General features: G+C 43.7%; 1 protein-coding gene and 1 long non-coding RNA gene across 7 annotated transcripts in view; one reads left to right on the top strand and one right to left on the bottom strand.

Moving 5' to 3' along the window:
* Positions 1 to 24,288, top strand: part of CCDST (cervical cancer associated DHX9 suppressive transcript) — a 177,390-nt gene that overhangs the window by 112,819 nt on the left and 40,283 nt on the right. The window contains exons 1-2 of one of the 6 annotated variants that reach the window (NR_103778.1): positions 11,338 to 11,917; positions 12,503 to 12,836. The exons of the other annotated variants lie outside the window; for them this stretch is intronic. This is a non-coding gene — a long non-coding RNA (cervical cancer associated DHX9 suppressive transcript). Of the gene's footprint in view, positions 1 to 11,337; positions 11,918 to 12,502; positions 12,837 to 24,288 lie in introns of those variants that run through there. 6 annotated transcript variants of the gene reach the window in all.
* Positions 44 to 23,118, bottom strand: FLG (filaggrin). Its single transcript, NM_002016.2, has 3 exons — positions 23,068 to 23,118; positions 13,198 to 13,356; positions 44 to 12,626 (listed from the first exon to the last, which is right to left on the bottom strand). Exons 2-3 carry the CDS (start codon positions 13,333 to 13,335, stop codon positions 579 to 581), a joined length of 12,186 nt encoding a protein of 4,061 aa, NP_002007.1. The 5' UTR covers positions 13,336 to 13,356; positions 23,068 to 23,118; the 3' UTR covers positions 44 to 578.

Genomic DNA, 24,288 nt, shown 5'->3' on the forward strand with positions numbered 1-24,288 from the left:
AATTTGTGTTTATGACAAATAAGAATACAAGAGACAAACAGTATTATATGATGAATAGTTTATTTTTAATTTAGATGCAGCTTACTATAATATTAATTATGTCCAAGATGATTTTTTGAATACAGAATACTAGAATTCCAATAGAAGGATAATAGAGAAAGATGTGCTAGCCCTGATGTTGATATAGCCACTTTGGTATACAGAACTGTTTTATATTTTTGGCTCCTTCGATATTTCTGAAAAAGATTAATTTAGAAATTTGGGGAGTGTCTAAAACTTAAACTTTCAAAAACATAAAACATTACTTGACCCAGAATCTCCTAAAATACTCCAGCTAGTTTTCTAAAGTTAGCTCTCCATGATATTGATTTCTTCCATTTAATATTTCTGAAATATAGCGTTTAAAGATCATTACACAATAAAAATAAGCTACCACCAAACTAATGAAATACTATAGCATATTTTAAACAGATTGACAGGAAAAGATAACTTCCCTGAAAGTATTATGAAGTTTCTTGATTGAAAGTGAACTTGCTTCATTCTTCTATTCTTGGATTAATTCCTTTGCCATTAATTTCTTACTCATAGTAATAGTATCTCTGTGACTGACTAAATCCCAGTTGTTTCGATATATCACTAGAATGGCCACATAAACCTGGGTCCTTATTAATATACGTTGCATAATACCTTGGATGATCTTTACCAAACGCACTTGCTTTACAGATATCAGATCTTTCCTTGAAAACAACAGGATTGGAATTGTAACTAACACTTCCGTGCTGAGAGTGTCTAAACCCGGATTCACCATAATCATAATCTGCACTACCATAGCTGCCATGTCTCCAAACTAAACCTGATTGACCTTTTTGCCTTTCAGTGCCCTCAGATTGATAATGATAAGAACTAGAACTGTGAGGACTGCCACGTGACTGTATTCCTGAGTGATACGCAGAATCTTGTGAAAGACTACTAAAGTGACCATGTTCCTTAGCGGTACTAGAGTCTGACTGTACAGGTGAAGACTGTACATGACTGGCTGTATCGCGGTGAGAGGATCCGGGGTGTCTGGAGCCATCTCTTGACTGCTCCCGAGAAGATCCATGATGGTTTCTGGAAGCAGACTCAGATCGCCTCTCAGAGTCCTCTGGGTATGCCTCACTGTCACTGTCCTGGCTAACACTGGATCCCTGGCGCCTGCTTCTCCTGGACCCCGCTGATTCACCCTGGCCGGACTGTGAGTGTCTAGAGCTGTCAGCCTGAGTGGAAGCTTCATGGTGACGCGACCCTGAGTGCCTGGAGCCGTCTCCTGACTGTTCCTCATTACGTGTTTCTCTGCTTGCACTTCTGGATCCTGACTGCCCATGGGAGGCATCAGACCTTCCCTGGGATGTGGTGTGGCTGTGATGGGACCCTGAGTGTCCAGACCTATCTACCGATTGCTCGTGGTAGGATCCCTGTCTTCCTCCTCTCCTTGACCCCGGGTGTCCACGAATGGTGTCCTGACCCTCTTGGGACGCTGAGTGCCTGGAGCTGTCTCGTGCCTGCTCGTGGCGGGATCCTTGTCTTCCTCCAGTACTGGGCCCAGCCCGTCCATGGGCAGACTCAGACTGTTCATGAGTGCTCACCTGGTAGAGGAAAGACCCTGAACGTCCAGACCTTCCTGCTGACCGGCCACGTGTGGACTCTTGGTGGCTCTGCTGATGGGGCCCAGCCTGTCCGTGGGCTGACACTGACTGTGTGTCTGAGTCTTCTGAATGTCCCTCACTGTCACTGGCCTGACTACCACTGGACCCTCGGTGTCCACTGTCTCTGACTGCAGATGAAGCTTGTCCGTGCCCAATGCCTGAGTGTCTGGAGCTGTCTGCTGACTGCTGGTGGTGGGATCCATGTCTCTCTCCTGCACTTGATCTTGCCTGTTCATGGGATGATGCAGCCTGTCCACCAGAGGAATTCTCTGCATGATGAGTGCCTGATTGTCTGGAGCTCTCTGCAGAGTGCCCGTGACCGGCTCTGTCTTCGTGATGGGACGTGGGGTGTCTGGAGCCATCTCTTGACTGCTCCTGAGCAGATCCACGATGGTTTCTGGAAGCAGACCCAGACCACCTCTCAGAGTCTTCTGAGTGTCCCTGACTGTCACTGTCCTGGCTAACACTGGATCCCTGGTTCCTGCTTGTCCTGGGCCCCGCTGATTGTCCCTGGCCGGACTGTGAGTGTCTAGAGCTGTCCGCCTGAGTGGAAGCTTCATGGTGATGCGACCATGAGTGCCTGGAGCCATCTCCTGATTGTTCGTCATTACGAGTTTGTCTGCTGGCACTTCTGGATCCTGACTGCCCACGGGAGGCATCAGACCTTCCCTGGGATGTGGTGTGGCTGTGATGGGACCCTGAGTGTCCAGACCTATCTACCGATTGCTCGTAGTGGGATCCCTGCCTTCCTCTTCTGCTTGACCCCGGGTGTCCACGAATGGTGTCCTGACCCTCTTGGGACGCTGAGTGCCTGGAGCTGTCTCGTGCCTGCTCGTGGTGGGATCCTTGTCTTCGTCCAGTGCTGGTCCTGGTCCGCCCATGGGCAGACTCAGACTGTTCATGAGTGCTCACCTGGTAGAGGAAAGACCCTGAACGTCCAGACCTTCCCCCTGACCGGTCACGTGCGGACTCTTGGTGGCTCTGCTGATGGGGCCCAGCCTGTCCATGGCCTGACACTGACTGTGTGTCTGACTCTTCTGAATGTCCCTCACTATCACTGGCCTGACTACCACTGGACCCCCAGTGTCTACTGTCTCTGACTGCAGATGAAGCTTGTCCACGCGGAATGCCTGAGTGTCTGGAGCTGTCTGCTGACTGCTGGTGGCGGGATCCGTGTCTCTCTCCTGGACTTGATCTTGCCTGTTCATGGGATGATGCAGCCTGTCCACCAGAGGAAGTCTCTGCGTGACGAGTGCCTGATTGTCTGGAGCGGTCTGCAGAGTGCCCGTGACCGGCTCTGTCTTCGTGATGGGACCTGGGGTGTCTGGAGCCGTGCCTTGACTGCTCCTGAACAGATCCACGATGGTTTCTGGAAGCAGACCCAGACCACCTCTCAGAGTCTTCTGAATGTCCCTCACTGTCACTGTCCTGGCTCACACTGGATCCCTGGCGCCTGCTTCTCCTGGACCCCTCTGATTGTCCCTGGACTGCCTGTGAGTGTCTAGAGATGTCGGCATGAGTGGAAGCTTCATGGTGACGTGACACTGAGTGCCTGGAGCTGTCTCCTGATTGTTCCTCATTACGTGTTGTTCTGCTTGCACTTCTGGATCCTGACTGCCCACGGGAGGCATCAGACCTTCCCTGGGATGTGGTGTGGCTGTGATGGGACCCTGAGTGTCCAGAGCTATCTACCGAATGCTCGTGGTGGTACCCCTGCCTTCCTCCTCTGCTTGACCCCGGGTGTCCACGAATGGTGTCCTGACCGTATTGGGATGCTGAGTGCCTGGAGCTGTCTTGTGCCTGCTCATGGCGGGATCCTTGTCTTCCTCTAGTGCTGGGCCCCGTCCATCCATGGGAGGACTCAGACTGTTCATGAGTGCTCACCTGGTAGAGGAAAGATCCTGAATGTCCAGACGTTTCCCCTGACCGGCCACGTGCGGACTCTTGGTGGCTCTGCTGATGGGACCCAGCCTGTCCGTGGGCTGACACTGACTGTGTGTCTGAGTCTTCTGAATGTCCCTCATTGTCACTGGCCTGACTACCACTGTACCCTCGGTGTCCACTGTCTCTGACTGCAGATGAAGCTTGTCCGTGCCCAATGCCTGAGTGTCTGGAGCTGTCTGCTGACTGCTGGTGGTGGGATCCATGTCTTTCTCCTGCACTTGATCTTGCCTGTTCATGGGATGATGCAGCCTGTCCACCAGAGGAAGTCTGTGTGTGACGAGTGCCTGATTGTCTGGAGCTGTCTGCAGAGTGCCCATGACCAGCTCTGTCTTCTTGATGGGACCTGGGGTGTCTGGAGCCATCTCTTAGCTGCTCCTGAGCAGATCCATGATGGTTTCTGGAAGCAGACCCAGACCACCTCTCAGAGTCTTCTGAATGTCCCTCACTGTCACTGTCCTGGCTCACACTGGATCCCTGGCGCCTGCTTCTCCTGGACCCCTCTGATTGTCCCTGGACTGCCTGTGAGTGTCTAGAGATGTCGGCATGAGTGGAAGCTTCATGGTGACGCGACCCTGAGTGCCTGGAGCCGTCTCCTGATTGTTCCTCATTACGTGTTGTTCTGCTTGCACTTCTGGATCCTGACTGCCCACGGGAGGCATCAGACCTTCCCTGGGATGTGGTGTGGCTGTGATGGGACCCTGAGTGTCCAGAGCTATCTACCGAATGCTCGTGGTGGTACCCCTGCCTTCCTCCTCTGCTTGACCCCGGGTGTCCACGAATGGTGTCCTGACCGTCTTGGGATGCTGAGTGCCTGGAGCTGTCTTGTGCCTGCTCATGGCGGGATCCTTGTCTTCCTCTAGTGCTGGGCCCCGTCCATCCATGGGAGGACTCAGACTGTTCATGAGTGCTCACCTGGTAGAGGAAAGATCCTGAATGTCCAGACGTTTCCCCTGACCGGCCACGTGCGGACTCTTGGTGGCTCTGCTGATGGGACCCAGCCTGTCCGTGGGCTGACACTGACTGTGTGTCTGAGTCTTCTGAATGTCCCTCATTGTCACTGGCCTGACTACCACTGTACCCTCGGTGTCCACTGTCTCTGACTGCAGATGAAGCTTGTCCGTGCCCAATGCCTGAGTGTCTGGAGCTGTCTGCTGACTGCTGGTGGTGGGATCCATGTCTTTCTCCTGCACTTGATCTTGCCTGTTCATGGGATGATGCAGCCTGTCCACCAGAGGAAGTCTGTGTGTGACGAGTGCCTGATTGTCTGGAGCTGTCTGCAGAGTGCCCATGACCAGCTCTGTCTTCTTGATGGGACCTGGGGTGTCTGGAGCCATCTCTTAGCTGCTCCTGAGCAGATCCATGATGGTTTCTGGAAGCAGACCCAGACCACCTCTCAGAGTCTTCTGAGTGTCCCTGACTGTCACTGTCCTGGCTAAAACTGGATCCCCAGTTCCTGCTTGTCCTGGGCCCCTCTGATTGTCCCTGGCCCACCTGCGAGTGTCCAGAGCTGTCGGCCCGAGAGGAAGCTTCATGGTGACGCGACCCTGAGTGCCTGGAGCCGTCTCCTGATTGTTCATCGTTACGAGTTTGTCTGCTTGCACTTCTGGATCCTGAGTGCCCATGGGAGGCATCAGACCTTCCCTGGGATGTGGTGTGGCTGTGATGAGACCCTGAGTGTCCAGATCTATCTACCAATTGCTCGTAGTGGGATCCCTGCCTTCCTCCACTGCTTGACCCCGGGTGTCCATGAATGGTGTCCTGACCCTCTTGGGACGTTGAGTGCCTGGAGCTGTCTCGTGCCTGCTTGTGGTGGGATCCTTGTCTTCCTCCAGTGCTGGTCCCGGTCCGTCCATGGGCGGACTCAGACTGTTCATGAGTGCTCACCTGGTAGAGGAAAGACCCTGAACGTCCAGACCTTCCTGCTGACCGGCCACGTGTGGACTCTTGGTGGCTCTGCTGATGGGGCCCAGCCTGTCCGTGGGCTGACACTGACTGTGTGTCTGAGTCTTCTGAATGTCCCTCACTGTCACTGGCCTGACTACCACTGGACCCTCGGTGTCCACTGTCTCTGACTGCAGATGAAGCTTGTCCGTGCCCAATGCCTGAGTGTCTGGAGCTGTCTGCTGACTGCTGGTGGTGGGATCCGTGTCTCTCTCCTGCACTTGATCTTGCCTGTTCATGGGATGATGCAGCCTGTCCACCAGAGGAATTCTCTGCATGATGAGTGCCTGATTGTCTGGAGCTCTCTGCAGAGTGCCCATGACCGGCTCTGTCTTCGTGATGGGACCTGGGGTGTCTGGAGCCATCTCTTGACTGCTCCTGAGCAGATCCATGATGGTTTCTGGACGCAGACCCAGACCGCCTCTCAGAATCTTCTGAGTGTCCCTCACTGTCACTGTCCTGGCTAACACTGGATCCCCGGGGCCTGCTTGTCCTGGGCCCTGATGATTGTCCCTGGCCCACCAGTGAGTGTCTAGAGCTGTCGGCCCAAGAGGAAGCTTCATGATGATGCGACCCTGAGTGCCTAGAGCCATCTCCTGATTGTTCCTTGTCATATGTTTTTCTGCTTGCACTTCTGGATCCTGACTGCCCACGGGAGGCATCAGACCTTCCCTGGGATGTGGTGTGGCTGTGATGAGACCCTGAGTGTCCAGACCTATCTACCGATTGCTCTTGGTGGGACCCCTGTCTTCCTCCTCTGCTTGGCCCCGGGTGTCCACGAATGGTGTCCTGACCCTCTTGGGATGCTGAGTGCCTGGAGCTGTCTTGTGCCTGATCATAATGGGATCCTTGTCTTCCTCCAGTGCTGGGCGCAGACTGTCCATGGGTGGACTCAGACTGTTCATGAGTGCTCACCTGGTAGAGGAAAGACCCTGAACGTCCAGAGCTTTCCCCTGACTGGCCACGTGCGGACTCTTTGTGGCTCTGCTGATGGGGCCCAGCTTTTCCCTGTGCTGACACTGACTGTGTGTCTGAGTCTTCTGAATGTCCCTCACTGTCACTGGCCTGACTACCACTGTACCCTCGGTGTCCACTGTCTCTGACTGCAGATGAAGCTTGTCCATGCCCAATGCCTGAGTGTCTGGAGCTGTCTGCTGACTGGAGCTGGTGGTGGGATCCATGTCTTTCTCCTGCACTTGATCTTGCCTGTTCATGGGATGACGCAGCCTGTCCACGAGAGGAAGACTCTGTGTGACGAGTGCCTGATTGTCTGGAGCTGTCTGCAGAGTGCCCGTGACCGGCTCTGTCTTCGTGATGGGACCCAGGGTGTCTGGAGCCATCTCTTGACTGCTCCCAAGCAGATCCAAGATGGTTTCTGGAAGCAGACCCAGACCACCTCTCAGAGTCTTCTGAGTGTCCCTGACTGTCACTGTCCTGGCTAACACTGGATCCCTGGTTCCTGCTTGTCCTGGGCCCTGATGATTGTCCCTGGCCCACCTGCGAGTGTCTAGAGCTGTCGGCCCGAGAGGAAGCTTCATGGTGACGCGACCCTGAGTGCCTGGAGCCGTCTCCTGATTGTTTCTCATTACGTGTTTGTCTGCTGACACTTCTGGATCCTGACTGCCCACGGGAGACATCAGACCTTTCCTGGGACGTGGTGTGGCTGTGATGAGACCCTGAGTGTCCAGAACTATCTACCGATTGCTCATAGTGGGATCCCTGCCTTCCTCCTCTGCTTGACCCTGGGTGTCCACGAATGGTGTCCTGACCCTCTTGGGACGCTGAGTGCCTGGAGCTGTCTCGTGCCTGCTCGTGGCGGGATCTTTGTCTTCCTCCAGTGCTGGGCCCTGTGCGTCCATGGGCGGACTCAGACTGTTCATGAGTGCTCACCTGGTAGAGGAAAGACCCTGAACGTCCAGACCTTTCCCCTGACTGGCCACGTGTGGACTCTTGGTGGCTCTGCTGATGGGGCCCAGCCTGTCCGTGGGCTGACACTGACTGTGTGTCTGACTCTTCTGAGTGTCCCTCGCTGTCACTGGCCTGGCTACCACTGGACCCTCGGTTTCCACTGTCTCCGACTACAGATGAATCTTGTCTGCGCCCAGTGCCTGAGTCTGTGGAGCTGTCTGCTGACTGCTGGTGGCGGGATCCATGTCTTTCTCCTGGACTTGACCTTGCCTGTTCCTGGGATGATGCAGCCTGTCCACCAGAGGAAGTCTCTGCATGACGAGTGCCTGATTGTCTGGAGCTCTCTGCAGAGTGCCCATGACTGGCTCTATCTTCTTGATGGGACCTGGGGTTCCTGGAGCCATGTCTTGACTGCTCCCGAGCAGATCCATAATGGTTTCTGGAAGCCGACTCAGACCGCCTCTCAGAGTCTTCTGAGTGTCCCTCACTGTCCCTGTCCTGACTAACACTGGATCCCTGGCGCCTGCTTGTCTTGGACCCCGCTGATTCTCCCTGGCCCACCTGTGAGTGTCTAGAGCTGCCGGCCCGAGTGGAAGGTTCATGGTGACGTGACCCTGAGTGCCTGGAGCCGTCTCCTGATTGTTCCTCATTTCTTGTTTGCCTGCTTGCACTTCTGGGTCCTGACTGCCCATGGGAGGCATCAGACCTTCCCTGGGGTGTGGTGTGGCTGTGATGGTACCCTGAGTGTCCAGACCTATCTACTGATTGCTCGTGGTAGGATCCCTGCCTTCCTCCTCTGCTTGACCCCGGGTGTCCACGAATGGTGTCCTGACCGTCTTGGGATGCTGAGTGCCTAGAGCTGTTTCGTGCCTGCTCATGGCGGGATCCTTGTCTTCCTCCAGTGCTGGGTGCAGTCTGTCCGTGTGTGGACTCAGACTGTTCATGAGAGCTCACCTGGTAGAGGAAAGACCTTGAACGTCCAGAGCTTTCCCCTGACTGGCCACGTGCGGACTCTTTGTGGCTCTGCTGATGGGGCCCAGCTTGTCCGTGGGCTGACACTGACTGTGTGTCTGAGTCTTCTGAATGTCCCTCACTGTTAGTGACCTGACTACCACTGGACCCTCGGTGTCCACTGTCTCTGACTGCAGATGAAGCTTGTCTGTGCCCAATGCCTGAGTGTCTGGAGCTGTCTGCTGACTGCTGGTGGCGGGATCCATGTCTTTCTCCTGGACTTGATCTTGCCTGTTCATGGGATGACACAGCCTGTCCATGAGAGGAAGACTCTGTGTGATGAGTGCCTGATTGTCTGGAGCTGTCTGCAGAGTGCCCGTGACTGGCTCTGTCTTCTTGATGGAACCCAGGGTGTCTGGAGCCATCTCTTGACTGCTCCCGAGAAGATCCATGATGGTTTCTGGAAGCAGACCCAGACAACCTCTCGGAGTCGTCTGAGTGTCTCTCACTGTCACTGTCCTGGCTAACACTGGATCCCTGGTGCCTGCTTGTCCTGGACCCCGATGATTGTTCCTGTCCCACCTGTGAGTGTCTAGAGCTGTCAGCCCAAGAGGCAGCTTCATGGTGACGTGACCCTGAGTGCCTGGAGCCGTCTCCTGATTGTTTGTCCTTACGAGTTTGTCTGCTTGCACTTCTGGATCCTGACTGCCCATGGGAGGCATCAGACCTTCCCTGGGATGTGGTGTGGCTGTGATGGGACCCTGAGTGTCCAGATCTATCTACCGATTGCTCATGGTGGGATCCCTGCCTTCCTCCTCTCCTTGACCCCGGGTGTGCACGAATGGTGTCCTGACCCTCTTGGGACGCTGAGTGCCTGGAGCTGTCTCGTGCCTGCTCGTGGTGGGATCCTTGTCTTCGTCCAGTGCTGGTCCTGGTCCGCCCATGGGCAGACTCAGACTGTTCATGAGTGCTCACCTGGTAGATGAAAGACCCTGAACGTCCAGACCTTCCCCCTGACCAGTCACGTGCGGACTCTTGGTGGCTCTGCTGATGGGGCCCATCCTGTCCATGGCCTGACACTGACTGTGTGTCTGACTCCTCTGAATGTCCCTCACTATCACTGGCCTGACTACCACTGGACCCCCAGTGTCCACTGTCTCTGACTGCAGATGAAGCTTGTCTGCGCGGAATGCCTGAGTGTCTGGAGCTGTCTGCTGACTGCTGGTGGCGGGATCCGTGTCTTTCTCCTGGACTTGATCTTGCCTGTTCATGGGATGACGCAGCCTGTCCACCAGAGGAAGTCTCTGCGTGAGGAGTTCCTGATTGTCTGGAGCTGTCTGCAGAGTGCCCGTGACCGGCTCTGTCTTCGTGATGGGACCTGGGGTGTCTGGAGCCATGTCTTGACTGCTCCTGAGCAGATCCACGATGGTTTCTGGAAGCAGACCCAGACCACCTCTCAGAGTCTTCTGAATGTCCCTCACTGTCACTGTCCTGGCTAACACTGGATCCCTGGCGCCTGCTTGTCCTGGACCCCTCTGATTGTCCCTGGCCTGCCTGTGAGTGTCTAGAGATGTCGGCATGAGAGGAAGCTTCATGGTGACGTGACCCTGAGTGCCTGGAGCCGTCTCTTGATTGTTCCTCATTACGTGTTGTTCTGCTTGCACTTCTGGATCCTGACTGCCCACGGGAGGCATCAGACCTTCCCTGGGATGTGGTGTGGCTGTGATGGGACCCTGAGTGTCCAGACCTATCTACCGATTGCTCGTGGTGGGACCCCTGCCTTCCTCTTCTGCTTGACCCCGGGTGTCCACGAATGGTGTCCTGACCATCTTGGGATGCTGAGTGCCTGGAGTTGTCTCGTGCCTGCTCATGGTGGGATCCTTGTCTTACTCCAGTGCTGGGCCCTGTCCATCCATGGGAGGACTCAGACTGTTTATGAGTGCTCACCTGGTAGAGGAAAGACCCTGAACGTCGAGACCTTTCCCCTGACCGGTCACGTGCGGACTCTTGGTGGCTCTGCTGATGGTGACCAGCCTGTCCATGGCCTGACACTGACTGTGTGTCTGAGTCTTCTGAATGTCCCTCACTGTCAGTGGCCTGACTACCACTGGACCCTCGGTGTCCACTGTCTCTGACTGCAGATGAAGCTTGTCCGTGCCCAGTGCCTGAGTGTCTGGAGCTGTCTGCTGACTGGAGCTGGTGGCGGGATCCATGTCTTTCTCCTGCACTTGATCTTGCCTGTTCATGGGATGACGCAGCCTGTCCACTAGAGGAATTCTGTGTGTGACGAGTGCCTGATTTTCTGGAGCTGTCTGCAGAGTGCCCATGACCAGCTCTGTCTTCGTGATGGGACCTGGGGTGTCTGGAGCCATCTCTTGACTGCTCCTGAGCAGATCCATGATGGTTTCTGGAAGCAGACCCAGACCACCTCTCAGAGTCTTCTGAGTGTCCCTGACTGTCACTGTCCTGGCTAACACTGGATCCCTGGTTCCTACTTGTCCTGGGCCCCGATGATTGTCCCTGGCCCACCTGTGAGTGTCTAGAGCTGTCAGCCTGAGAGGAAGCTTCATGATGACGTGACCCTGAGTGCCTGGTGCCGTCTCCTGATTGTTCCTCATTTCGTGTTTGTCTGCTTGCACTTCTGGATCCTGACTGCCCATGGGAGGCATCAGACCTTCCCTGGGATGTGGTGTGGCTGTGATGGGAACCTGAGTGTCCAGACCTATTTACCGATTGCTCGTGGTGGGATCCCTGCCTTCCTCCTCTGCTTGACCCCGGGTGTCCACGAATGGTGTCCTGACCCTCTTGGGACGCTGAATGCCTGGAGCTGTCTCGTGCCTGCTCGTGGTGCGATCCTTGTCTTCCTCCAGTGCTGGTCCCGGTCCGTCCATGGGCAGAGTCAGGCTGTTCATGAGTGCTCACCTGGTAGAGGGAAGACCCTGAACGTCCAGACCGTTCCCCTGACCGGCCACGTGTGGACTCTTGGTGGCTCTGCTGTCTCAGCCCAGCCTTTCCGTGGCCTGACACTGATTGTGTGTCTGAGTTTTCTGAATGTCCCTCACTGTCACTGGCCTGACTACCGCTAGACCCCCGGTGTCCACGATCGCTGACTGCAGATGAAGCTTGCCCGCGCCCAGTGGCTGAGTGTCTGGAGCTGTCTGCTGACTGCTGGTGGCCGGATCCATGTCTTTCTCCTGGACTTGATCTTGCCTGTTCATGGGATGATGCAGTCTGTCCACGAGAGGAAGTCTCTGCGTGACGAGTGCCTGATTGTCTGGAGCTGTCTGCAGAGTGCCCATGACTGGCTCTGTCTTCATCATGGGACCTGGGGTGTCTGGAGCCATCTCTTGACTGCTCCCACGCAGATCCATGATGGTTTCTGGAAGCCGACCCAGAGTGCCTCTCAGAGTCTTCTGAGTGTCCCTCACTGTCCCTGTCCTGGCTAACTCTGGATCCCCTACGCTTTCTTGTCCTGGACTCCTGCAATGGTACCTGGCTTGTATTTTCATGTCTTGACCTGTTCACTTGAGATGATGATTTGCCATCAGATGACCTTGATCTTTCATATATTTTGTTTTCTTCTAATAGACTATCAGTGGTGTCATAGGCTTCATCCTGGATTGTGTAATATGTGGCAATATGGCCTGATTGTATCCATTTTTGAGTCATTCTTCCTGTATTTTCATAATCATATACTCCTTCTTCATTGTCTTCTTTCTCTTCAAGTCTTTCACTTAGCCTCTTCCTATTGTCTCCTAATCTAGTATTTTCAGTCTTGTTTTTCTCTTTTTTACTTGAGTTATGATGGTTTTTTCCATATTCTTCTTCTCTATGAGTAGGTGAATATCCTTTTCTTTCTTTTTTTTCAGAACTAGATTCATGCCTTTTCCCCCCTGTTTCTCTTGGGCTCTTGGATCTTCCCTTATTCCCTTTTCTATTGTTTCTTCTTTCCAGACTTGAGGGTCTTTTTCTGTTTTCTTTGTTTTCTTCCTGTTTATTATCTTCATGTTTATCATGATGACTGTGCTTTCTGTGCTTGTGTCCTGATATCGGTAAATTCTCTTTTCTGGTAGACTCATAATATGCTTGAGCCAACTTGAATACCATCAGAAGAAACTCAGTGAAGTCAATTTTCTTGTTGTGGTCTATATCCAAGTGATCCATGAAGACATCAACCATATCTGGGTCATCTGGATTCTGTACAGAGGGAAGTCACAGAGGGAGACTGCATCAGACAGAATCACATTATCAGCCAATTAATTCAAAGTTAATTTAAGGAACCTGATCTTTGAGTATTAAAAAGTGGGACAAAATCTTTTTTTTTTTTAAGACTTTTTTGTCTCATCCTCATTCAGGTGTTATATGTGAACAAAGATGTAGACTAGTAAGGTATCAAGATTTGATGGGGTAAGTGACTCTTTTTCTTATTTTAAAAGTCAGAAGTGTATATAATTCATTACTTAGTTGTCTTTAACAAAAATCCCCTTAGTAATGTTGATGTTTGGGAGAATATTATAAATACCAAAATACTAAGAACTAATTTACATTAATTTTTAAATATTTATATTTTTTTCTCTGAGGGTGTCTTTATGTTTATAATATACATCCAGGTATAGGGGAAGAAAATAAAATCTATCTCTTTTGAGACAAGATTAACTCTTTTCCTATTTTAAGAGAAATAGTTCACAAAGAGCTCAAAATAACCCTTGCTTAGATTATTGATGAGAAAAACAAATGCTCTATCTTTGGTCTTGTCAGAGACTCTTACCTTCAGGATTTGCCGAAATTCCTTTTCCAGAAGTTCCTTCAGCTCTTTTTTACTCAATGTGTCAGTGTTTTTATCTTTTTTTGAATATTGCTTGAAAAGATTAATTATGGCAAAGATGTTTTCCAGGAGAGTAGACATCTTTTGGCAATAAATGTGAACCTAGAAAGAAGAAATGAAAATGCACTTTTTTATACATCTTTTTTTCTAGGTTATATTATTACAATCATTTTCCACATTTTAAACCTACATTTTCCTCTAAGTAATCCATCTTTAAGAATGGAAGATGGACATGAGAAACTTTTCTCTACCATCTACATAAAACAAATGAATAGAGTTTTCCTGACTTAAATAAAATTGCCCATTTTTTGGCCTTGTGCCCACTTACAGCTGGACTTAGTAGTCTCACAGACCTCAGTGTGCTCTAGGTAAGATCATCCCTCTTGCTGATCTTGCCATTGCTAGCAACAAGAATTTAGAAAGGCTGACTGGTTTTAAGCAGTAAAATTTACTTATACAAATTTACTGAAAATTACTTCCCCAAAAGCTAACTTAATAAATGATTAATTTGCTAAGACACAATTCTCTGAAAGCCAGTTAGCCATATGACAAGATACTCAATGAAAGTTCATTCAATTTTTTATTTGTTTTTTAAACATTTCATGAAGTTTATAATATTTCATTGTATAGGATGGATTTAATAGCTCTTCAATATTTAAAGAGAAAGGTTTTTCTGACTGGGTTTCATTTTGCCATTTAAGGAATGTTCAGTTTATCTCATTGGTGAAGAAATTAGTAAGCATGTCAATAAATCTAAGTGTGTATTATATAAAGAATTATAACTTTATTAGGACTTACAAAACCAGGTGAAACTAAAATACTGTAGAAAACAATGTGAAGGAGATTACTGTAGCAGTCACAACTAAAACATTTTTGGACCTTGGTTTGTTTGGTAAGAGGAATTAGATATTAATGAATTTTGCTGTGGTTAAGTGATATATGTATTTGGGTAAGTTTATGGGTATTTACTAAAATAATAGAATTTATAATTTCTAAACCATTAGAGATGAAAAAGGGGAATTAAGAAACTTTAATAATTCAACAGAAGCCAGGAAAGAAGAAAATAAGAAGCATAGAAAAAGAAGGGTAAACAGAAAGCATAAAATAAATTAATAGAATTACAAATAATTTTATTATTACTAATTACAATACATGTAAAATAGACCATATCTTGCCAGTTAAAATATAGATTGTAAAGATTGAATTTAAAAAATTACAGGTATATGCTTCTTACAAATGCATTTTAAAGTTTATGATTATTTTCAGCCAGTCTTATTTATGATGATATTGTATTCTCTGAACTTATCGTTACTTGCAACATATGCAAAATCTCTTTCTGAAGGATCTCACTCTTTGACCTTCTCTTGTACGCTGATGTCAATAATTCTTTAACCTCTCTATTTACTGCTTTATGTACTCACTTCCCTTTTTACCTTGGTTAGACATTATGTTTAATCTCCCCAAATGCCCCTTGGATACATCCACTTGTCCTACTTTTTCTTATACCCACTGGCCAAAGCTTCAACAACTTCTTCTTTCCTTTATCTCTGATGTCCTTGATTTTGATTCCTGAGAACTTGGAAGCCATTGGAAAAGAGTTTCCTCATTCTCCTAATATCTGATCTCCCAACCTACTACATTTCTATCCATATACCTTGCCTTCACTTTATTTAGGGTAATAAACAGTCTGTGCTCCTCCTGTCCTTTACTTTGGCACTGAGCCCCACTCTCTCTTGCCTACCCAAACACTTTGCTTTTGCAGTTGCCTACTTTCTCATATGCATCATTAATTCTTCTTTGTCTACTGGATCATTCCCTTCAATATATATTCATGCTGAAATATCTATCTAACACTTACCTTCCCATCTCCACCCCACCCTCAATCTCACATCTGCCTTTAGGTACCATCTGATTTATCTGTTCCCTTTTATAGCAAAATTCCTCAAAAGATATGCCTATACATTCTGTCTTTACTTCCTCATTCTTGTTTTCCTTTACTCAAGGTATTTTTCTTTCTAAAAAATGTATTAAAACTCTCACCAAGTAAAAAATATCCTTCATATTTCCAAATCCACATATCCATTTTTATTTTACATATTACTTGACATATCAGCAGCATTTGATGCAACTGGCTTCATCCTTCTTCAGAGACCTGGCACTCTCAAGTTTCTCCTCCAACCTCAATGGCCACTTTTTTCTTAGCCTCCTCGTTCAGCTCCTAATGTTGCTATGCCCTATGATTCACTCCTTAGCTTCTTTTCTTTATTATACTCCCTCGGGTCATCTCATCTAGTTCTATATAACTTTTTAAATAAGTTGGCAACTCACAAGTTTATACCCCCAGTCACTGACTGTCCCCTAAACTTGAGATGTGTATGTCTAAATGCCTATCCAGTATTTCTACTTGAGTCTTGTAGAGATCTTAAATCTATTATGTTCAAAACAGAAGTCTTGATTTTCAACTGCTTTACCCTAAAAATGTCGCACACCCGTTATCCTCATCAGTTATTCCTGTCTTCCTGATGGCTCAAGTCGTAAACCTGAAAATTAGTTGATTCTCCTTTTCTTACATCCAATATCTATTCCATCAACATGTTTTATTGATCCTACTTTCAAAATATCCCTAAAATTAGTCAGTTTTCCCTACTTCACTCTGTTTCCTTCTCTAGTAGTTTATTTTTATCACCACAGAAACATGCTGGAGTATCTTCCATCTTAAAACCCTTCCCTCGAACCATTATTCCACCCTCCCCCAACATTTCTCCTAACATCTTACTAGCCTAATTAACTGCTTCATTTCACAGGAGTCTTGGAGAAGTTTTCTCTGCTTTCTCTCTTAAAATGTTTACCACCCACTTTCTTTTTAACCTGCTTCTCTCAATTTTCTATCACCAAACTCTACTGAAACTGCTTTGTGTCAAATCATCTGTGATCTCCAAGTTGTTGAATACAGTGTCATTTCTCCATCATTACCTCATCATCATCATCTTACTTAATCTCTTGGTATGTGAAATAGAATTAACCATTCCTTTCTTAATGGAGTCTTTTTTTCTTGGATCTCATGACACCATATTCTTCTGATATTCCTCTTACCCATTGAATGCTGTTGTCTCTCAGTATTCTTTACTAACCTCTCTTCTACTCAATCTCAAAAGGTTGGAAATATCTGTGGCTGTGTCTTAGACCTTCTTTTTAAAAAAAATCTACACTCCTTTCTGAGGCAATGTCATTGGATCCCATCACTTCAGATACCATCTATCTGATGACTTCAAAATTGATACCTCTAGGCATAACCTTTTCTCAGAGCTTACATTCATTCATTCATTCCTTCATTTATTTAACAAGTATTGAACAGCTACTAAAGGGTTAGGCACTGTTTCATGCTTTGGAGATATAGTAGTGAACAAGATAGATGAGGTGCCTGCCTACTTTTGTGAAGACAATAAACAAACAATAAATTAATTCAACAATTAGATATTGATAAGTGATATGTACATAACTAAAATAAGAGTGCTATTATACAGAATATTTGGGGGTACTTTAAGGAAAGGAGGTTTTGTGGTAGAGGGGACATTTGAACTTAAAATGGAAAAATAAGAAGGAAGTAGCCTTGTTAATTAGAGAATTTTAGCACAAGGAACAGTGCAAAGATTCCAAGATGAAAATCAGCTTGTCATGTTAGAGATATAGAAAAAGACCAACTCAGTTAGAAAATTGTGGACAAAGCAGGAGTAATACAACATAAAGTCAGAGATACAGACGGGTCAGATAATGATCTTCTAAATAAGGTGACATTTGTGCATTTTATTTTAGGTGTGATGAGACTAGATGATATTTTTTGGTAAGAGAGTGATCTAATATGGTTTGATTTTTAAAGATTGCTTTGTGCAATTGTTTATTAGTTTCAGACTAACTCTGAATACAACTAGAAAATGTGTGTGTGTGTGTGTGTGTGTGTGTGTGTGTTTGAAGGTATCACAGAGCTATCAAGATTGTGACAATTTATTGGGGCTTACATTCAGATTTAGAGGGAAATATAGTATTTGGGGAATTAAAAGACAAAATTTTCTAAAACTGATGAAAGATATCAAGGTACAGGTTCAAAACGATATTATAAACTCCAAGCAGGAGATATAAAAGAAAACCAAAGCAAGACATATAATAATAAAACTGCTGAACATTTGAGGCAATGAGGAAATCCTAAGAGCAGACAGAGAAACACTTGTATTACCTTCAAAGGAGCGACAATAAGATTGATACTTGTCTTTTCAAAAGAAACAATGGAAGCTAAAAGACGATGAAATGTTATATTCATCTTTCTGAAGCAAAATAAGTTATATGTTAACAGTGAAAATATCCACCAAAAAGAAAACATGTAAAGATATTTTCAAGCAAAGAAAAACAGAGCTAATCACCAGAGACCTACTGTAAAGGAAATATTAAAGGATAATTCTAGTTGGAAGCACAGAGGAGCAAGAAAGAATAAGAACAATGGAAAGAGCATATGTGTGGAAAAATATAGCTAGATATTGATTGCATAAAATAATAATAGTAATCTTTCAGGATTTAAGATAAATAGAATTAAAATACATAACAATCCCAGATAAGGCAGTGAGAAAATGGAGTTAAGTATTGTAGGATACTTGTATTATTTGGGTAGGGGTTAAAGTATTTTTTTCTTAATAATATACCCTAACAAATCAAGGATGCATGCTATAATTTTTAGGGCAAGGATGCAGATAATAATAAAAGAGTGTATAATTAATAAGCTTTTGTATAAAGATAATTAACTGGTAAATATTAACTTAATCCAAAAAAGTCAAGAATAGAAAAAGAAATACAGAACAGGTGAGATAGTAGAAACCAAGTAGTAATATTGTAGAGATGTAAACCAAATAGTTCCATAATAACTCTGAATATAAATAGAGTAAATATGCTAATTAAGGGACAAGGCTGTCAGACTGGATTAAAAAAAACCAACTGTATTCTGCTTATAAGAGACACACATAAAATGTGATTAAAATGATTGTAAATGAAAGGGTGGAAGAAAGAGATACCATTCAAACACTAAAAGAAAGCTGTTATTATTATATTCATATCTGTCAAGCAGACTTTAAGGCAAAAAATATTGCTAGAAGGAAATTTTATAATAATAAAAGATCAATTCTCCAGGAAGCCTCAAAATACATAAATAAAAATCGACAGAAGTATAAGGAGGACCAGGCAATCTACAATCATAGTGGGGTATTTAAATACACTTCTCTCAGCAACTGATAGAAGAAGTAAAAAATATGTAAGAATGTAGAATATTTCTACAAAATTATTAATAAAACATCAACATACATTGAACACTACACCTAACAACTGCAGAATATCCATTCTTTTGAAATTGACCATATACTGGGCCATAAAGCAAGTTTCAATAAATTTTAAAGGGTTGAAATCATAGAGTTTGTTCTCTAACACAGTGGAATGAAGCAAGCATTAAATAATAGGAAGATAACTAGAAAAATCTTTAAGTGTTTGAAAATTAATGACTTCTAAATAATCAATGGGTCATTGAATAAATTACAATGCAAAATTAGAAAATATTTTGAACTAAATGAAAATGAGAAAAATATGAAATAGCATAACTTGTGGAATACATTAATTCCATGCCTAATAGATATTTATAGCCTATATATATATACACACACACATATATACATATATACACTCACATATATATGTATATAAACACATACATATATATATGAATGATATCTCTTTTTCCCATCCTTTCATTTTCAATCACTGTTATCATTTTTTATGTGTGAATCTTATAAGCAGCATACAGTTGTGTGTGTATATATATGTATATGAAAGACTGAAAAATTAATTACCTAAGCATATATTTCAAGAAGTTTTAAAAAGAACAAATTAAGCCCTAAGAAAGTATAATGAAGGAAATAATAAAGATAACTAAAATTAATAAAAGAGAAAGAAAATTTAGAGAACCAACAGTGCCAAGATTCAGCCTTTGAAAAATCTAATAAAACTGATAACCCCTGCAAGATTAATCAAGGAAAGAAGAGTAAGTACCAATATCAGGAAAGTAAAAGGGGACATTGCTATCGAGGTTTTAGACATTAGAAAGATGACAAGAGCATATTATAAAAAACATTATACCAGCTAATTTGAAAATTTAGATGACATAGAAGAAATGTCTAGAAAAACACTTGTTACCAAAACTGAACCAACAATAAATAGAAAACCTAAATAGTACTATGTTTATTAAAGAAATTGAATCTTAAATGCATTCATTTCCAGTGGGGGAGAAACTGCAGGTCAGATGGCTTTACTGAATTCTATTCAAAGTGAAAGAAAGAAATAACTATAACATCACATAGATTATTTCAGAGAAATGAAAAACAGGAAACACCCATTTTATTAATCCAAACTGGCCTCAGTACCATAACCTGACAACGATATAAGAATCAAAATTTTCAGGACAATTCCTTTCATATAGATGCAAAACTCTGAAAGAATATAATAGCAGACTGAATTCAGTAGTATATAAAAAGAATATATGTTATTCCTAACTACATTTTATTCCAAAATTCATTTTTGGATTAACATTTGAAAACCAACCAATTAAGTACTGAAATAGAATAATGGGGAAAATTATATGAACCTCTCAATAGATGAAAAATTGATAAAATCCAATATTAATTCTGATTAATAAATAAAAGATTATGTCTTTGAAAAATGTCATAGCAAAAATTATATTTAATGGTGAAATGAAAGCTTTCATCTCCAAGTTTGGGAATGAAACTAGTATGCCTGCATCATCCTATTGATATATACTATGTATAGTATCATCCTATTTAACATTGTACTAAAAGTCCTAGCTAGAGCAATACGTTAGGAAAAGGAATTAAAAGCAGAGTAATTGGAAAAGAAGTAATAAAACTGTTATTACTCACAGAATGATATAACTTTTGTATGTGGAAAATCCAAAAGAATGTATAGCTAAACTATTAGAATAAATAAACTAAACATGCTTCTGGTTATAAGTATACAAAAATCAATTGTATTTCTATATAACAGCAATAAACACTTAGAAAATGAAATAAGAAAAGATGCTATTTACAAAAGCATAAAAAAATCAGAAAAATTTTAGGAATAAATCTAATTAAAGATATGAAATGGCTGTACTCAGAATATTATAAAAGTTGAGATTATAAGTGCTGAGAAAATGAAATAGGAAAGGAGGCTATTCATAAAAGCATAAAAAAAGAGGAAATTTTTAGGAATAAATCTAAGAAAACATGAAAGAGCTATACTCAGAAAATTATAAATATTGAGATAAAGATTTAAATAAATGGACAATATATAGCTTGTTTATGAACTGAAAGTCTAAATAGCATTAAGATATCAAATCTCCTTAAATTCATTTATAGATGCAATGAAATCCCATTCTGAATATCTGAAGTTTTTTTAAAAAATAAAGATTAATAAGGTGATTTCTAAAATTTATATGAAAATGTAGAGGGCTAAGATTAGGTAAGACCATCTTTAAGAAGACTAAGTTGGAAGACATACCAGATAGCAAGGTGTGTTATAAAGGAAGAAAATATGGCATGATGCAAGGCTAAACAAATGGAATGATAAAAGATAATAGTATAAAGTCAGTCTTATATCACTCTGGACATTTGGTTAATGGCAAAGATGGTAGTGTAGGTCAGTAGAGAAAGAATAGTCTTGAATAAATGGTGCTGGGTTAATTGAATTTTCAAATGGAAAAAAAATAGTTTCCAGGTTGATTTTACATGTAAGAGATAAACGAAGATAACATTGGAGAATATCTTCAGGACCTCGGGGTGGGGAAATACTTAAATAAAATTCAAAAAGTACTAATTAATAAGAAAAAGACTGATAAATTGTACTGCATTAAAAGTAGGAATGTTTATTCTTTTAAAGATAGCATTAGAAGAGAGATGTACAAGCCACACAGTGGGAGGATATACAAAACACATTTAACCAATAAAGGAATCTGTCCTGAATATAAAAATAGCTTCTATAAATCAATAAAAAATACAGTTAACTCAATGGAAAAATGAATACCTTAGGAACGTTACAGAAAAGGATATCCAAATGGCCAATAAACATATCAAAACTTCTCAACCTTGTTATGCACTAGGGAAATGCAAATTGAAATAACGTGTGAGACCTCAATACACCCACCAAAGTGACTAAAAAGATAAGAAAGAAAAAAATCCTTGACAATACCAAATATTGGTGAGAATGTGGAGAATTGAGATTTTTTTTTTTTTTATGTACTGCTGGAGGCACATAAAGTGACAGAAGCACTTTGGAAAATTGTTTGACAGTATCTAAGTCCTAGCGATTTACTCTTAGGAATATTCCCAACTGAAATATGTACATATGTGTAACCAAAAGTAGTACACAAAAAAGTGCATAGCCCTATTATTTATAATACCCCCCAAAATGGAAGAGACCCAAGTATCTACCCATAGACAAATGGATGAATAAATTGTTATATTTTCAGATAACATAATAGTCAGTGTTGGGAGATGAAGGTAGACTGGACTAGGATGATAATGGCAGAGAGGGGGATAAATGGATAGATTTGGCAGGTTTGTAGGCAGAGTTGACTGGACGTGGTGATGAATCAGTGTGATGAGAAAACAGGAATCATGGATAACTTCTAGATTTTGGTATGAGCAAACAGTTATTTCTCGTTATTTCTATTATTTCCATCATCTTTCACATAAAAGAATGCAGTCTCTCCCTGCTCCTGCTCTTGCCTTCCTATATTCCTGTTTTCCACGTAGCAGCCCAGAGTGGTCTTTTAAAAACATAGATTATCTTACTCCTCCTGCTTAATACCCCTTTAAGTACATGCTAAAATCTAACATGTACTGTTTTAATTCTACTGTGCCCCTCTTTACATGAGCTACGCTGTCTAGCTCTCTGACATCACCATATACCACTGGTCCTCTTTTTAACTATGTATGCTCTAAGGCACACTAGCTTCTTTTTGCTCTTTGGGACAAGTTTACTCTTGCTTAGAATCTTGCCCTTTGCCTTGGCTAGTTTCTTTTGTGTTTAAGATCTCAACTCAAAGATAATTCCCTAGAGAGGTCTTCCCCTGGCCATCTAATTTAAAGCACTTTCCTCCTCCCTCCCATCACTTTACTACAAGCTTGTCCAATCTGTGGCCCAGGACAGCTTTGAATGTGGCCCAACACAAATTTGTAAACTTTCTTAAAACATTACGAGTTTTTTTTTAAGCTTATCAGCTATTATTAGTGTCAGTGTGTTTTATGTGTGGCCCAAGACAATTCTTTTTCCATTATGACCCAGGGAAGCCAAAAGACGGGACACCCCTGCTCTACTACATCACTCTTTTATTTTCTTCATTGTTCTTATCACTATTTAAAATTATCTTATTTGTTTATTGTTGTTTACTAAATGTTTCCCCCTATTAAAGGTAAGCTGCTAGGAGTTTATATAGTTCACTGCTGCATAGATAGAGCCAAGACCAAGTAGAAGGTAGTTAATACATATTTGTTAAGTAAATGAATAAATGGACAATCTAACAATACAGAGTATTGAGTAGCTCCATGGAAAGCAAATTTATGCCCTCATTTTCCTTCTATATAGAAATAAACCTTTTAGTGACAGTGCCACTAAAAAGAAAGAGAAAAACCCTAAACTTCCAGAACCTTTTGCCTTACAGTACACATACATTCAGATTTCCACCTTGGTTAATAGTAAGTAGACAAAATTAAATGTATTCCTTCTTACCTTGTTCACCAAAAGAGCAAATAGAATGTAGCCTGAAGGAGCCTGCTGGGTACTGAAGGCTGAGATAATGGCCCTTTTATAGCAGGCCCCATGCAGGGAGGAGCCACCCTCTGTGGGATGGTCTGATTCATTCCTAACCAAACCTAGATCCACCCATATCTCCACCTCTATTTCTCCAGCAACCTGTGTTTACTTCCCAGCTTCCTCACGTACTCATCTGTACTTGTTTCAGCAAGTTCCAAATTTGGGTTTACATATTGGAAATTTTATGGAAGGGTCCCTTTGGCTAATACAGGTTGTTTGTGTGCAGGGCCCATACCTACTTTTCTGTAACCCCACTTTGGCTTGACAGGTGCTTGGTAAATATCTATTGATAAATACACTTCCTGATCCTTGTCTCTAGAAGAGTAGGACATATTAATACGTTTATAAGAACTTGAAATTCAATTTATGATAGGAAAACATCACAAGCATCTACATATATGTTCTTTTTTAATCTATGTATTCCATCTTTGGGTACTGAAGAACTTGCCATGAGATGAATGCCGTCTTCTAGAAATTATGGTCAGTAGAGGATAGGCAAATTTAATTTTAATTTTTCAAAGCAGAGCAAGAATGTGAACAATTGAACTAGAAGTGGTGATCACTAGGAGCATGAGTTTAATTAGGCAAGACTCATTAGTGTAATTTTACTTTGTTTTCAAGGTTATTACATCGTGGCATCAGAGACATGTTCCACATACTCTTCCTTCTTAAACCATGAATTTTCTTTTATTGCCATAAATATACAGGGGACTCCTATCCCTGGTCTGTCTTATGATATACACACTGTTATGTTGAGCAGATTGCATCTCCATATGGATGTCCCATGGTTATCTCAATCCATAGTGTTGAAAACTGAACTTACATTGTGCCTCCTACCAAAATGTACTATCCTCCAGAAGCCCATATATTGGTAATGATGCCCCCACACACTGGGTGTCTCAAGCTAGACAAAGTCATTTTCATTTCTCCTTTTCCTTAACCCCTCATGCTCATGTCACATCGTATCAATTATACTCAGGCTTAGATTTTGTTATGTAGGCCTATTCTCTACCTCCAGTGCTATAATTTTAGTTCTGGACCTGACCATCTTTCAATTGGGTATTGGTAAAGAAAAAAAAGTGTCGTAACTAGCCTCTCTCTCTACTATTAAGCTGGCTTACCATCTTATGTCATTCG

The sequence above is a fragment of the Homo sapiens genome, chromosome 1 (genome assembly GCF_000001405.40).
Source record: "Homo sapiens chromosome 1, GRCh38.p14 Primary Assembly".
Taxonomy (NCBI): Eukaryota; Metazoa; Chordata; class Mammalia; order Primates; family Hominidae; genus Homo; species Homo sapiens.